Raw genomic sequence first — 16,965 nt, forward strand, 5'->3', positions numbered from 1 at the left:
AGATATAGTTATCCATTAATACTTTGCAATAGTAATGAGAAATACTGTTAGTGGAAAAGATATAGTTAAAGTTTTGATTTAACTTAGGTAGAAAGCAGTCAACAAATCATTTTCCATGTGTCTGAGCAAGGCAATAAGACAACAGTGATTAGTGGGAAGTACTCCTGACGTGGGAAAGGAAGTATGCTACTTTGGGAAATAAGGATGTTGTAGAAATTAATATTTTAAAGTCTTTGGAGAATTCCCATGGAGGACTGATGTATTTTCCAAAGTTCTTTGTTGTGATGAGATATGGAGAATTATTTTCTAAGTGCCAATTTGTGAACATAAGCATATGCATGCCAAGGGAGATTTGAAGTGCAAGAAACTGATTTCTGTAAAGCCACTTGTTTGATGTGATGTCCTTAATGGTTTTGTTTTGTTTTCATATTTTCCCTTATGTCTAAAGATATAATTAAAGTTCACTGCCGTGAGGGGCTCAGGTGTCTTTACTTTTGGCTGAATGAGTAATCGCCCTTGATTTCTGATTGCAGTAATTTCTGTAATAAAGCCCATTGGTGATCTCCATAAAACTTATTACCTCTACATATGAGTAAGGAACAAAAGTGTAACTTTGATTTCTTCCTGTTTATGCCATCAGATATAGTCATGTATTCTGTGTTGAAAGTATGTGAAACCTCTTCTGAATCTCATTGCCTCTTGCAGCTCCTGTGTAAATTCTGTCCCAAAGCTTTCAGGTTCCCTGACTACATCGTTGTATTTACTGCTGAATTTACTGCATTCTCTTCCTCTTTCAACTGCTTCCCAACCTGCCTTTCAGACCCTTTTTTTAAGAAGCTAGGCTCCTGAAGGTTCCCCGTGACTATCTTTTAACCATACCTCTTAGTTCTGTCACCAGTTTTGAGCTCCCTTCACTTCCCCGGCATTGTTCATCAGTGTTACTTGTTTGAAATTCCCTCCCTGTAGGGCCTCCCTTAGGTTCCCTGATGAAACTCTACAGTTACCCACTTTTTTTCTAACTTTCATTTCTTACCTTTGCATCCCTTTCTACCTACTTTAATCCCTTCCAGTAAGCTTATCAACTGACCATGGCCTCTGCAATTACCTTTACATAAACCAGATTAAATTATATTGCTCCAGTGAAGATTTTGAATCCCAAAATCATGTCTTCTATATAAGGACATTCCATTGTATGTCTCACTTTTGCCTCAAACTCAACATGTGCAAAACTAAATTCATCATTTTCCCTTAGAGGACATGTAACTCCTCTTTGTCCCTCCCCTATTTTTCTGTAATTGGTCTTCTCTGGTCTCCCTGGACTGGAAGGCTCAGTGTCATCTTTGTCTCCATATCTTTCATCCCTTGTTCAGCCACTCTCAATGCCGTGTTGATTTCTGTTTCTAAGTGTCACTAGATATACCCCTTTCTCCAGGCCTCCCCTGCTTCTTCTCTGAAGTAGTCTCCTTTACTTTAGGGGTGATACGGCAATAAAAGTATGGGCAGACTGATATCCGTCCAACAAACATTCTCAGATTAATCTTCCTAAAAGAATGTTTTCATCTTTTTATTTCATTTTATCATAAACTTTGCCTCCTTGATGCTCAAACATCCTAATTTATCAACTTGTCATTCTAGAGCCTTTTTACAAAAAAGGGCCTTTGGCATATCTGTCAAATTAACTTGCTGTAGCTACTCCTGAAGAATCTCTCCGATAGGGTTCTCAAGTGATCCATCAAACATCTTGCTGATCTGCCTTTCTGCCTCTACTTATGTATGCTCTTCTTTCTTCTTGAATATCCATACTTGAATATCTTTTCTTCTTTCTTCTTGAATATCCATACTCAGGATCCAATTCAAACATCACCTTTTTGTAATGACATCTCTTCCTAGTCTGTTTCATACCACTTTTATCTTCTTGTCACTTCCTATATAGGTTCTTGTCACTACTAACTATAGGTTTTATTGTTGGTAACGCATATCTTAGCACTTCAGTGTTATTGGTCTTGCATTACTATGTATGTGGGTTTTGTGATAATTTTTTTGTGTGGTATATCACAGTTTATAAAACATTATCATATTTGGGCCTGATAGTAAAGCAAGTCAGACATTTTACAGCTGGGAGCAGTTGTATTAGTAGTAGCCCCAGAACACATGGATACCAAGAGTTAAATGTAAAATGTGAAAGTGGAATCTAAGAGTTAACATCAAGAACAGTGCTAGTTCAACTGTTCTAACTTTCAAGGTCCTTTCACTTATTGCAAAACTTAATGCACATTTTTTTCCTTCATATATTCTATAGAACCTAGCATATGTCTATTACATACTAGGTGTTAAGTATCTTATTGGCTGAAGTAGATTAGTATATGCTATAAATAAGAAAATATTCTATGAATTATAAAAATGTGCTATATACCTTTCTTCACTTAGATTGAAAATTGGAGAAAGAGTGAATTATTACTAAAAATTGCTTTGATGTGTTCTGATAAACAGCTTTTTTAAGATAATGTGAATTATAGGAACCTCGTGTTTGAAAGCTTTTCTTTCAGTGGTGCCTTGGTGTACTACTTTGGACTTAGACTAACAAGATACAATTTGCCAGTATCTTGGTTGAGAAGAAACAACATGATTGCCATGAAAAAAGAAAAGAGAGAAAAAAAGTAAAAGAAAAATCTATGGAGTTTTTAAAAAGCATTCTCATAAACTTGATTTTAAAAGTGAAAATTGATGAACATTCTTCATGTTCTGAAAATATATTTTAATAGGTATTATATATTATAACATGACATCAATTAGCTAAAATCCTACCTAGAAATATGCTAGTTCATTACATTTTGGAGCTAACTTTTCCATGTAAGGGATAACAAAGGATGCGTGAAAGGGAGTTGACATTTTTATTGTTTTTGGTAGATTAAAATAATTGGGTTGGCCAAGTATGAGGGTGAGAACATTTTCCTACTATTTATCATGCAAATTCTGAGAATTTATTTGGAACTCATTGTACAAAGCTAATATTAAGAAAAAGTTACTTAACTTTTACTGGAATGAATAGTTATGATGATCCTCCTAACCTAGAGATGATGCAGTGATATCATTTTAGAAATAATTTTGTTTCAAATTCATTTATTGCTTTGGTCTCTTGCAGTTTTATTACCTTCTTCATGTAAGGATATAAACAATTGGATATTAAGTTAGTTGTAAGACCATGTAGGAAAATGGACAGTTTTTGTGTGCACATCCAGTCTCTGCTGCATCCTGACTGTGGTGACTCAGAATTAGCTCCGGAATCCATCCTTGCTGTGTGTTCCTCATACCACTTCTCAGTGTGGGCTTGTGCACCTCTCTCTGGAGAGCTCTGGCTTCTGCCTTTATTATTCTTCTTCTCAAGCCTTCCTGCACTGCTAAGAAACTAGTTTTCCCAATGAATGGATGATTTTTATTTTGTCCCTCGCTTTCTCAAAACTGTAGCTCACCCTGACCTACTGAAAACCAACCAAAGTTCATGGTCTCCTCTAGTCGGGGCCTCTCAGTCTTTTGAAATTATAATGAACCAATGGATCTGGCTGATGTTACCTGCACACGGCCTGTTTTTTTTTTTTTTTTTTTTTTTTTTTGGTGTGTGTCTGTGTGTGTGTGTCCTATTCATTGTGTTGCTATATAAGTACCTGTAGGCAGGAACTGGGCCTTTTTCACATTTTTATTCTCTATAACTAATTTCTAATGCAGTGCCAGGCCTATAGTGAACCTAAAGAATGAATGAGTGAATACATGCTTTTAAAGTGAAACAAATGTTACTATGTATCTTTTTTTATTGCCTACCTTTCCAAGTATGTAGTAATATCTTAATACATTGAACAAAGAAGAAAACGAGAGCAACAGAATTCAGCAAACAAATATTACTATGAATAGCTAGTGTGGCAGGGAAGCAGTGCCTAAGTATTCTATGTTAGCATGTCTTTTTCAGCTAGTATACTTAATATTTATCAGGATAGTAACTGATTTCTCTTTCTTTTTTTTTTTTTTTTTTTTTTTTTTTGAGATGGAGTCTGGCTCTGTCGCCAAGACTGGAGTGCAGTGGCACAATCTCAGCTCACTGGAATCTCCGCTTCTCGGGTTCAAGTGATTCTCCTGCCTCAGCCTCCCGAGTAGCTGGGACTACAGGCGTGTGCCACCATGCCCGGCTAATTTTTTTTTTTTTTTTTGTATTTTTGGTAGAGACGGGGTTTCACCATGATGGCCAGGCTGGTCTCAAACTCCTGACCTCAGGTGATCCACCTACCTTGGCCTCCCAAAGTGCTGGGATTACAGGCGTGAGTCACTATGCCTGGCCAGGATAGTAACTGATTTTTGATTTAAAAAAATGCATAGATTCTTCTATACTTTTAGGCTTTTGATGAAGTTATAACACACGGTTGCAACTAGTCCCCAAAGTTGTCTTCGTAATGAACCAAACCCCCAGCAGCACCCTTTCTTTGATTCTGAGCTAGCTCTGAAACTTGCAATTGACCAATGTCTCCCAAGACTAGGTCTTAAGGGCTCTTGAAATTTTATCCCTGGATCTCTTGGAAAATGTGCTTTTAGAATAGCTCTCTCGAAGATAGCTGCCATAGAAGCAGTGCCACTATTCTGAGACCAACTTGCTGTGAGATGCCTCAGCCATGTGGAGAGACCCTGGAATATGAAACACTGAGAGAAAGAGGGAGAGAGACAGAGAGAGAGAGAGAGAGACAGGAGAGAGACAGAGAGAGAGATGGGAGAGAGACAGAGAGAGAGAGAGAGACAGAGACAGAGAGAGAGAGAGGGGAGAGAGACAGAGAGAGGGACAGACAGAGACAGAGACAGAGAGAGAGAGACGGGAGAGAGACAGAGAGAGAGAGACAGAGACAGAGACAGAGAGAGAGATGGGAGAGAGACAGAGAGAGAGAGACAGAGACAGAGAGAGAGAGACGGGAGAGAGACAGAGAGAGAGAGACGGGAGAGAGACAGAGAGAGAGACAGGAGAGAGACAGAGAGAGAGAGACGGGAGAGAGACAGAGAGAGAGACAGAGAGAGAGAGAGAGATGCGAGAGAGACAGAGAGAGAGAGACAGAGACAGAGACAGAGCGAGAGGGGAGAGAGAGAGAGAGAGTGAGACAGAGAGAGAGAAGCCAAGGTAACACCAAAGCACTAGACATGTGAGGGATGAAGTGATGGAGCCATCTTAAAAATGGATCCTCCAGCCACCCCAGCTGGTAGCACATGTAGCAGAATGTCTAGCTGAACACTTCTCAAATTCTTAATTCACAAAATTGTGAGCAAAATAAATGGTTATTGTAAGCCACTAAGTGTGGCATAGTTTGTTATGCAATATAATGGATTGAATGTTTGTCTCCCCCCTAAATGTATATGTTGAAATTCTAACCCCGCAATGTGATGGGATTAGGAGATGTGGCCTTGGGAAGCCATTGGGTCATGAGGGTAGGGCCTTATGAATAGGATTAGTACGCTTATAAAAAGAACTCCACAGAGCTCTCTCCCCGTCTTTCATTTACAGTAGGATATAAGGAGAAATCATCAGAAGAGGGTCCTCACCATAGCCTGCTGGCACCCCAGTCTTGGACTTTTCAGCTTGCATAACCGTGAGAAATAAATTTCTGTTGTTTACAAACCACTCAGTTGATGGTAATTTGTTTTAGCAGCCTGAACTATGACATGCAGTGACAGATAACTGAAACAACATACAGGAACATGTGTAAATTATTAATAAATTTCACCAGTTAAACACACCTGTCGTGATATTGTGATTTTTTTTCTTATAATAACATAGATGTATTTGGCCTTCATCCCCATTTCCTCACATACAACTCCTACAGTTTTTGGAATCCCAGGAGTGACAGAGTGACCTTTGTATGCTGTTGGTTTGACTGATGGCTGGAATCCCCTAGGTAGAATGAGGAAAGGAAAGGCCAAAGCATGATTAGAGGGTTGGGACTTTTCAGCCCCACACTCAACCTCTGGGGAGGGGAGAGAAATTGAAGGTTAAGCTAATCACCAGTGGCCAATGATTTAATCAATTGTGTCTACATAATGAAGCTTCCATAAAAACCCCAAAGTACTAGGTTTGGGGGGCTTCTGAATAGCTGAACATGTAGAGTTTCCTGGAGGGTGGCATGCCTAGAAAAGGCATGGAAGCTCTGCATCCCCTCGCACAAACCTGCCCTATGCATCTCTTTCTGACTGTTTACCTGTATCTTTTGTAATATTCTTTATAAGAAATCGGTAAGCGTAGGTGTTTCCCTGAGTTCTGTTAGCTGCTCTCACAAACTAATCATACCCAAGGAAGGGTGAGGGGAACCCCGGTTTTTAGCTGGTTGATCAGAAACACAGGTCACAACCCGGGGCATGTGATTGGCATCTGAAGTGGGGGTTAGTCTTGTGGGACCGAGCCCTCAACCTGTGGAATCTGACGCTATCTGTCCACCTGGTGTCCACTGCAGAATTGATTGCTTACTTGGTGTGTGGGGAAATCTCCCCCCTCCTCTCCCCCCGCACATACACCTTTGGCTACAGAAGCCTTCTGTGTTGTGAGAGTATCATAGGAGAAACTGAGTTTTTTTTCCCCATATCCTTACACCTGTGTAACTAACATCCAGAGCAAGGGACAGAATATTGCCAGCACCTCAAAAGCCATCCTTGTGTTCCCTTTCAGCAACAGCCATCTCCAAGGGTAGCAACCACTTTGACTTCCAGCACCATAGATTGTTTTGTCTGGTTTTAAAATTTTGTATGAATAGACTTATCCATTATATAATCCATTATATACTCTTTTCACTTACTATGTTTGTGGGATTATCCGTATTATTGACTGGAGCTGTGGTTAAAACATTAGCATTGCTATGTAGTATCCCATTATATGAATGTAATACGCTTCATCCATTCTACTCTTGGTGGATATTTGGGTAGTTTCCAGTTGTCGACTATTGTGGATAGTTCAGTCTTCTAAATGTCTTTGGTAAATGTATGCACACTTTTCTCTTGGGTGGTTTTTCAATGGTTTTATGATTGCCTTTGAACTTGTTAGTTTTATATCTGTAAGTAGCCTATAAGCCACTCTAGAGTATAATGGCTAGGTTTTATACATATATATCTATATTTATTCTTATGATAATGCCTAGTAAACAGAGTTTATAGCTTAGAGTAGTTATTCAAGAAATATATGCTGATTGATCACTTAGAAGTTTTACAGCACATATGCTTGGTTCTCTAAAAAGAAGTTCTAAATTAATCATGCACTTTACACTACAGTATGTAAGTATAAAAAATAGGAAATGTCCTTTCAATTAGACATTCTTGTTGAATTAATAACAGCTTATTGGAAAACATTTCATCTGCTCAGAGCTATTGTTTTGCAAATAGCGTGAGAAAGAAAATCACTTTGTTTCTTACAGTGATAAAAGACAGGATACTAATAAACAGCTGAAGTTTCTGTGTACTGTTATACTGAAGGGGTTTAAGCTTCAGTGAATCACTTGTTAGGATAGAAGTAACAAATTATGTTGGTGTGTACAACTGAAAAGCATCTTAGGGCACTATTCTTCTTTTGTTGAGTTATGTCCTTAGAGCTCTATCATATCATTTACTGTAAGGTAAATTAATGAGTACTAAAATTACATTTTCTTCACATCTAATCAACTTGAGGAATTTCCCTTTTTGTTGCTTTTTTGGTGTATCACTGGGGCTATTTACTTTAAAAATCGCAATGAAAAAACTGTTCCAAATAAGCCAGGTCTGATTATTTTCAATCCCAGCACACTTACTTAAATGCCAATATCATATGGAAAAGTTTGACTCCAAAACGCCAGACTCTTTTTTTCTCTTTTCTGGTAAAGTGTAGCTCTTGGACAAAAATAAATGACATGGAAATTCAAATTAATGTCAGATGGTTTTATGGTTTGTGGTTTGTGTTTGTGGTTGTTAACTCTGAAGAATCAGGACATATAAAAGATTAAAGAGTCTTTCAGCTACTAAGCTTAAAATATGTATGTTTACAAACAAATGCCATACACTTTCTATCTTGATTTATCCTTACTTCTTTAGTTACTAGCATGCTTTTAAAAAAAATACTATGATGTCTTTTACATCTTCCCATTCATTTATTTATGCAGTAAATATTTATTGAGTGTTTTCCGTGGAGCAGATACTACTCTGAGTACTTCAAGTTTCATAGACCTAACTCTTCCCTGGAGGAGATCATGGTCTACTGCAATACCAGACATGTAGACAGACACTTACAATATGCCATCTCATAGACAGACAAGCAAACTAGGTTCAGAGCAACTCCTTCTGCTTAGGGGAGTCCAGGAAGTTTTACAGCACAGATAAAACTTGAATTGAGACTTGAAAGAAGTATAGGAATTTGAGCAAAGAGGTGAAAAAGTTTTTCTATGCAAAAGAGTAGCGTGATACAAAGGCACAGAGCTGAGAAAGGTTTGGCATATTCAGAAATCAGTGGCAAGTTCCCTTTGCTCAGAACTTAGGGCATGTTGGGTAAAGAGGAGAGGGGAAGAGTGGGGATGAAGTAGGTTACCATTTTCACTGTGAGAAACTAAGAGCCTAGCCTTCCCCCAGGGTCTCCACTCTACTTTTTAACTTGGAATATTGCAGTAACCTGGGACTGGTAACCCTTTGTGGAATTGATAGGAGTTGAAGAAAAGGTAGACTTTTGAGCAGCACAAAGAATAGGATTGGATGTTCCAAAAATAAACAAAAAGGATATGCAAAATGGAGGGGGAAGGGCCGGCAACATGTTCTCAGAACAAAAAGTAGTTCAGTTGGCCATTCCTAAAGGAGAGAAGCTACAGTTTAAGTGGGAACAGTGTTTGGAGGGAACCTCCATTAGAGTACTGCAGAACATTGCTGATACGGTTTGGCTGTGCCTCCACCCAAATATCATCTTGAATTGTCATAATCCCCATGTGTCAAGGGTGGGACCAAGTGGAGATAATTGAATCATGGGGGTGGTTCCCCCATACTGTTCTCATGATAGTGAGTGAGCTCTCACTAGATCTGATGGTTTATAAGGGGCTTCCCCCTTTGTTTCAGTCTGAATTTCTTGCTGCTGCTATGTGAAGAAGGACCTGTTTGCTTTGCCTTCTGTCATGATCGTAAGTTTCCTGAGGCCTCCTCAGCCATGCTGAACTGTGAGTCAGTTAAGCCTGTTTCCTTTTAAATTACTCAGTCTTGGGTATTTCTTCATAGCAGTGTGAGAATGGACTAATACAACTGCGCGTGGCTTTCTTCATCACTTTGTCCATTCAACAACCTGGTGTAAGTAATCTAGGGGGCAATTGGATGGAATAGCAGCAAATGTGGTAAATAACAGGAGCAAACAACATAATTATTTTTGATAGGAAGTGTAATAGCCTGAAAATAGGAAAGTACAATTTAAAGCATAAATACAGTGTCCTATAGTTCACAGTTATTGGGAAAAAGATGTTGGGTGTTTCCAACAAATGCCTAATATAAGGGAACAGCCTTATGACATTGATAAAAGAAGCGAATGTCTTGTCAGGAAGACCTGGATAAAGGAGGGTGATAGCACTGCTCCACACTCTGTCAAGGGATTGCAATTTGTTCTGGATGCCATCTTTTAAAAGAGACAGTTACAGAGAAAAGAATGGCCAGAGGAAGGAAACCAATGTAGTGGAAGTCTGAGAACAATATTGCAGGCAAAACAGGTAATGAAACAGGCTATTTACCCTCTAATTGAGTAAAGGAGACATCACAGTTGTTGAGAGCAAGAGGGGAGACAATAACCACTAGATAGAAGTCCAGGGAGGTAGGTTTAGCTCTGTGATGAGATGATCCTTCTAATGCTTTTCCTTGTGAACAGGAAACTAAACAAGACCAAATAAATATGTCTAAGTGACAAGTTCGCTGTGTAACTGGGAGTGTTTCAGCTAAGGGTGGTGCTACCTTGTTAGGGATACCGTGAGCTGTCAGAGTTTTACTTCAATGAACTTTAACACCACTAGAAGACATCTGAGTGTAAAATACAGATACTCTTGATATCCTTAAAATATATATTAATCAGGCAGCCTGAGCTGCATGCACTTAGGAGCTCTGAAGCCAGTGAGCCCTGGGCATGAGGTAAGAACTATGTGCTGTGAGGTTTTCTTAGTGGTTTTACTACTGGGAAGTGACTTGGTTGCTCAATTGAGAGGCTTCCATAAGAATCGCAGCTATCAGGGATTGAGTGCTTGTTAGTGCCTGATGCTCAGCTGTGCACTCTATATACTCTATCTGGTTTAATCATCACAACAGACTTGGATAGTTGGATTGTTTTAATCCCCTGTCTCCTTTTACCAGTGAACAAGTAGAACTTAAATAACTTGAGTCCAGCTGCAACATTTTCTAGCTGTGTGACCTCAGGAAAGTTATGTAATAGCTTTGTCCCAATTCCCTGATTTAGAAGTGTGGATAGCCTCTGCATGCGGTGGCTCACACCTGTAATCCCAACACTTTGGGAGGCAGGAGGATCACTGAGGCCAGGAGTTTGAGAGCAGCTTGTGCAACATGGTGAGACCCTGTCTCTATAAAAATTTAAAAAAAAGCTGGTATAGTGGTGTGTGCCTATAGTCCCAGCTACTTGGGATGCTGAAGTGGGAGGATAGCTTGAGCCCAGGAGGTTGAGACTGCAGTGAGCTATGATCCATGCCATTGCACTCCAGCCTGGGCAACAGAGCAAGACCCTGTCTCTAAAAAAAAATTAAAAGTGTGGAAAATAATAATGCCTGCCATGCTGTTTGCAATTGTAATACCTGGATTCCCCCTCAGGTAGTAAGGGATGGGAGGGAATTTGATCACTAATAAAAGATACATTGACATGTATTAGAATTGTCATTGTTTATGGGTAAAATATTTAAAAAATATATGTATTTCATTTGGGAATTTGGTAGAGAGCCTAATGAGAGCTGCTGATCACTTGCATAGATGTATTTTTATGTATAAGAACAGCTGATAGTATTTTGCCTTTATATTTCCTTCTTTATGCATACAGCCTCTCAAAGCCAATCTAAAATGCTGCCTACTTTATAAAATTTTTCTGACCCTCAAGATGGAATGGGATTACAGTTTCTTTTAAACTGTCATAGAATATTCTGACTTGTCTATGACATTAATGATTTCCCGCCTTAACATTATATTTACTTGTTCAATTGTCTGACCCTCTCCAATAGACCTCATGCTCATTCTGGCATGGCCTTTAGCATCTTCTTTGTGGTATGTCTTGGAATACCTCAATTTCGGTATGCAGGTCCTCAAATCTTTATTTGATTTAGTTGAACCACATTGTTAAGCTTTAGTTTTTATCTCTTTTTCCTGATTCCTTTACACAATATTGAAAGACATTGGCAGAACATTTACTTTATATGGGCCATAGTGGTGGTGGTATTTTTTTAAGCAGATATGCTAATTTCTAAAATTTTAAGTTTGTGTGCTTCCTCAAAAGCCAACATTACTGTGATGAAAACAGATTTTGAACCTTTGTTTGGTATCTGCATACTGATGATGATGGATCAATGGTGAAAGAAACAAACTATGTTTTACCTTGGCCCTGCCCCACAAGGCATTCATGAAAAGAGACCTGCAGATGCAGGTTGTTCCCTGCATTGCCCAGCTGTGCTGGCTGAGTGATGTTCGAATATGTAAGCACTTTTTCATTTCCTTCATCTCTCCATCCTCCTGTTACTTAGTTTTTATGCTAAGATTCTCACCTGAGTTATCAGAATAGCCTCCTAATTGAGGTTCCTGCCTCCATTCATTCTTGACTCAGATAAGTTCCCAACTGTGCCATGATAGTGAACTTCCTATATAGTTCAGTCACCCACAATGGCCACAGGGCAAGTTCCAAGCAGTTAAGCTGCCCATGAGGGCCTCCAGGATCCCAAATTTCCAGCAGTATCCTCTTCCTGCCCTCTTCCTTCTGCCAGACTTCATGAAATTTTTGCTCCAGAATTGAGTGTTTAGTTTTCTTCATTTATTGACCACTCTTTGATTCTCCATTAGCTATTGTTATTATTGAGTGCTTCCTTAGTAGTGATTAGGGTTGTGAGCTCTTCGTGAGCTCTGGGTCCACATGGCTGGGATCAAAGCTGTGTGATCCTAGAAGTTCTTAATCTCTGTCTCCTTCCATTTTCACATCTGTAAGATGGGGATGATATTGGTCCCAGCATCATAGGGTTGCTGTGAAGATTGAGGTGATACCTGTAAAGAGTGTAGGACAGTGCCTGGCACATAGTAGTGCACATCAATCTAATGCCGTGCTTGGTACTGCTCTGGGAATTTGTATTCTCATGCCTCTGATCCTGCTATTCTCCCTATGTTGAGTGTTCCCCGCATTTCCTCCCCAACTTGAATTTCTGTCCATTCTTTAGAATCGTTCTAAGGTGTCAGCTTCTTAGTAAAGCTTTTCCACATCACCCTTTCCACCTTCAGAAAGAACTGATCACTCCATCTTCTCTTCTACTTCTGAACCTTGAAAATAAATATTTGTGCAGCACACTTTCATGCAAGTATTCATATACACATCCGTGTCCCCTACTGGATCATGAACTCATTAAGAACGAAGAGTATGATTTATTCAACATTGATTTCTTAGAAGCTAGCTCAGTGCCTGGCACATAGTATTCAATAAATAATTGTTGAACTGTGCTTTTTGAATTGAACAGGAAAGCACTTTATCACTTAATGTTTTAGGCATGAAATCCAGAGTATGTTATCGCAGTGTCATGGTGATGTGCATACATACATGCATGTGTATGTATGTGTCTGTGGTTTGATTAGTACATGCCTGATTAAGGAAAATAATTACTGTGAGTTGTTCATTTATTTAACTACTTCTGGTAGTTTATAAGAAAGGAATTTCTTCAACTTCCTAGGTAGAAATGCAAGCCAGGACTTGTGGCAATTCAGTGCCAAAGATCTGTTACTGTTAGCCTGGAAGACTGCAGGTCTGCCGGTTCCAGCTGTGCTTTAATAAACAGGAGCTCAAACACTTCATGATGGGAAGTACAGCTGAGGACTCTCGAATGCACAAGCTGATCATGCTGAATGCTTTTCTGGGTCATGTTCATTTCATAAAAACAGCCAATTCCCAGCCTTCCCAGAAGAGGAAATGCTGAAGGTCCTAGCTGCGATGTGGGGTGAGGAGGAAACCAGGACGGAGAGGGAGAGGGGGCCTCACCACCTCCCCTTTCCTTGGCAAGGAAGCCAGCCCAGGCACCCAGCCCAGTCGCACGGGTCCCTGTTAGGACTTTGGGCTGTGCTTAAGTACACAAGTTTTTTTTTTTTTTCTTGCCTTTTGTAGCGACTACGTTGTTCCAGTGACCAGAGCAACATGACATAGAAGCAGAGAAAACATACCAAGTTCTTGCCAGTTGCTAGGCAGAGAAAAACGCTTTTGGATGTTTGAAGTATGCTTCCTATGTTGATTTCCTAACCATGACTTGTTTTGAAAGCCAAACACAATAGCATCGTGAATACTCATCAGCATTTGGTAGGCTTTGCTGCCAACCTAATTAACAGATTTCAGTTTAGAGGGATGAGAATAAAGGGGATGCTTTTGGTAAAGTAGTAGCTTCGTGGGAAATTTGATTTTTCTCTAAGGATTGTTTCTTATAATTTTTTTGATATAATATAATATTTAATTTCAATGACCATATTTGTCTTAATTTTAACACAAGCAGTTTTTAGATTATACTTAACATTGATGCTAATATAGTTGCAGTGGATTTTACCCAAGTTTTCTTTTTAAAAACCTAATGAAATATGGAAAAGGTAGTTCTCTTTGGTCTAAATGTCAATATTAGAGCTGTGAGTGTGATGATTTACCGTGCACTTAATTTTTCTTATTGTCGGAGATAGGAAAATGATCATTTCTTCTGGGACACCAAGCTCTCATTGTTAAGTAGGGCAGCTGGTGAATCCTGAACTCAGAGGCAGAGACTCCCCAGGAGGGCCGCTGAGTACAGTAGGCTGTAAGGGAACTAAGAAGGATACTCTTCCCTGCATGGCCAAACACAGTTGCAGAGGACAGTTTCAGGGTGATGTTGGGCAGGCCATTGGGCTTGGCTGGTCCTAGGGGCAACTGTTTCCCTGTGGGCGATGGGGCTGCTCCATCCATGCAAGCGACCTGTGTTCCCCACCAGAGCTATCCAGAGTGGTGTCCCTTTAATTCTATTATCAGACCATGTGGTTTCTAGCAGGGAACACAGATCTAATTGAAGCTTTAAGGAAACTTTATGAATAGGAAGCCACACATAGTTGTAGAAAGATCTCAGGCCAGCTGTCACTTGGGAGATGGAAGTTCAAGGTTAATTTCACTTGACTGGCAAAAGCGTTTTGAGAGAAAAGTTGGTTTTCGTAATCTTTCTTTTGGTTGGAGACAGGAAAAATGGGGGAAAAATTAATATGCCTTTCTACTATCTCTTTTGGGATAACCAGGTTATATTGATGAAAATGATTTTATGTACAAGGCACAGTGTGTGTATATAAATTCTTTTAATCTCCACCGTAATCCCAGAGAGTAGGCACTCTTATAGATGGGGAACTCAGGTACAGAGAAATTAGAGAAATTCCCAGAATCACCCAGCTCGGAAGTAGCAGAGCTTGGATTTGAACTGAAGAAGTCTTGTGATGGAGTTCCTGCTCTTGGCCAGTACACTACATTGCCTGGGCATGCCGGGAGCGTAGGGCTGCTCCATCCATGCAGGCATCCTGTCTACAGGCATCCTGTCTGCAGGTGGCTTGACTACAGGTGGCTTGTCTACGTGCAAATGACGTGCTTGCTTGCTACATGTAGACATCTTAGCTGGATTGGCCTCTGAGTCCTCTGTAATACTTTCATGGAGATTTATCTCATTGGGTTTAAGTCATAGATTTACATGTGTATCACTTCTATCATATAGTGAACTTCTAATGGCAGGGGCTTGATTATGAGTTGCTGGCACCCAGCATGGTGCCTTTCTTTCGAGAACCTTATGGAGTTGAAGAACACAGTGCCAACAACCTGGGGCAGAGAGTAACAGTAAGGCCAAGAGCTTCAAGTGATCTCTAGGACTCTTTTTGGCTCTTGTCAGTACTAATAGAGATAATGTCTTGTGTTGCAATTTGGAATTCACGAAAACCAAACTTAAAGATGTTTTAAAAAAGAACATCACTGGCCAGGGATGGTGGCTCACAGCTGTAATCCTAGCACTTCGGGAGACTGAGGTGGGTGGATCATGAGGTCAAGAGATGGAGACCATGGTGAAACCCTGTCTGTACTAAAAATACAAAAAATTAGCCGGGCACGGTGTCAGGTGCCTGTAGTCCCAGCTACTTGGGAAGCTGAGGCAGGAGAATGGTGTGAACCTGGGAGGCGGAGCTTGCAGTGAGCAGAGATCACGCCACTGCACTCCAGCCTGGGCGACAGAGTGAGACTTCATCTCAAAAAAAAAAAAAAAAAAAAAAAAAAGAACACCACTAACTAATTTCTGATGTATTTCTTTGCTCCTTTTTCAAGTCATTGTTTTCATTTTTTTGGAGCTATATAAGGCCAGTCAACTCTTTTTTAAAGTTAAGCTAGCAAGGTATTTGGCTATCAACGCTAAATAAATCAATTCAGAACCACTATTAGCACCATAAAGCTTAATTCTTTTTCTTTGTACTGTCTGGTCACCTTTAGAATAATTCTTATTCCTCTTCAATCGGCTGGATTTCTGCACAGGTCCAGGGGTTGTCTTTCTGTGGGGAGATTGATGTGCACTGGGGCAAAATTTCAGTTACCAAGTGTGTCCAGCATGAAGTTGCAGCTGGCATTGAAAGGCATCCACCATTCCTCTCCAGGTACATTTCAGATTCATCTCCTACCTTGTTCCCCCATGTCCCCATCACGTGCGCTGGACTGATCATCTGTCCTCACACAGATCTGGTAGCTTCTGCCTCTGGATCTGGCCTCAAGTGGTTCCCTTTGCTAGAAGCGCCTTTTCCCCTGCAACCTCGCCTGCCTGCTGAAGCCGTTCTCGGTCTGTAATGCTCACACTCCATCTTCTCTAAGCATCTGTCTAGGATACCCTCCAGTTCCATTTAATATCTTCCTTCTCTGTGCTCTGTAAATTCCCATTTCTAGACTTTCACTTGCTAAGACAAGCCCCACATCAGGTATTTGTGGATGTGTCTGTCTTCCTCAGGAATTGTGGCAGCCAGGGAGTGTGTGTGTGTGTGTGTGTGTGTGAACACACATGCAATACACGCAGTGTCTTTGCAGTCCCCATAGGTAGAAGAGCAGGTATGCAAAGATAGTTTTTCAGTGTGAATAACCCGTTTCATTTTTGTTCCCTCGCAAAATGAATGCCTCATCCTTGTACCATAGAAAATATCTGAACACCTCTACCTTCTAGTCATAGACTTTTGGATTGCCTCTCTTCCTATTCTTTTAGTTTTTAAAATATGCCAGAGCCCACAGTTACCTTACTATCTGCCTCTCCTAAATTCTGGTCAGCCTCTTCCCTCACTCTGGCATGGAACCAGGCTTAGAACAGTAGAATTGATAGTGGTAAGAAGTTGAGTGTGACTGCACACCACGGCTGAAGCTCTGCTGAAACCTTTATGAACTGGACTTTGAAACCAATTTCTCTAACCAAAGTCCCTATTGCTCCCTGAGTCAGGTGAGCTCTGCCATGTGCCTGGCACAATGCATCCATCACTTTACTTAGTCCTCCTCACAGTCCTCACCAGAGATGAATGAAAGTGCCATTGTTCACAGGGAAGCCAGGCATCCACCGAGGTCCTACAACTGAGAGTCCCATGGCTGAGCCCCTGATGGAAGCTCAGGTCTACCTGACTCTTCTCTTTCATAATAGAACACTGGCTCCTGAATGCCTGAAATGGACACAGGAGACTTTTCCCATCTTCTCTGTTTCCCAAGGCTGGTGCCCACTGCTCACTTTC

General features: G+C 40.4%; 1 protein-coding gene across 4 annotated transcripts in view; it reads left to right on the forward strand.

Annotated features, from left to right (window-relative positions):
• Nucleotides 1-16,965, forward strand: part of PREX2 (phosphatidylinositol-3,4,5-trisphosphate dependent Rac exchange factor 2) — a 284,987-nt gene that overhangs the window by 19,643 nt on the left and 248,379 nt on the right. The window contains exon 1 of one of the 4 annotated variants that reach the window (XM_047422267.1): nt 9,063-9,140. The exons of the other annotated variants lie outside the window; for them this stretch is intronic. Within the exon in view, the coding sequence (XP_047278223.1) occupies nt 9,135-9,140 (6 nt within the window). The 5' untranslated portion in view covers nt 9,063-9,134. Of the gene's footprint in view, nt 1-9,062; nt 9,141-16,965 lie in introns of those variants that run through there. 4 annotated transcript variants of the gene reach the window in all.

This window comes from Homo sapiens, chromosome 8, assembly GCF_000001405.40.
Source record: "Homo sapiens chromosome 8, GRCh38.p14 Primary Assembly".
Classification (NCBI taxonomy): Eukaryota; Metazoa; Chordata; class Mammalia; order Primates; family Hominidae; genus Homo; species Homo sapiens.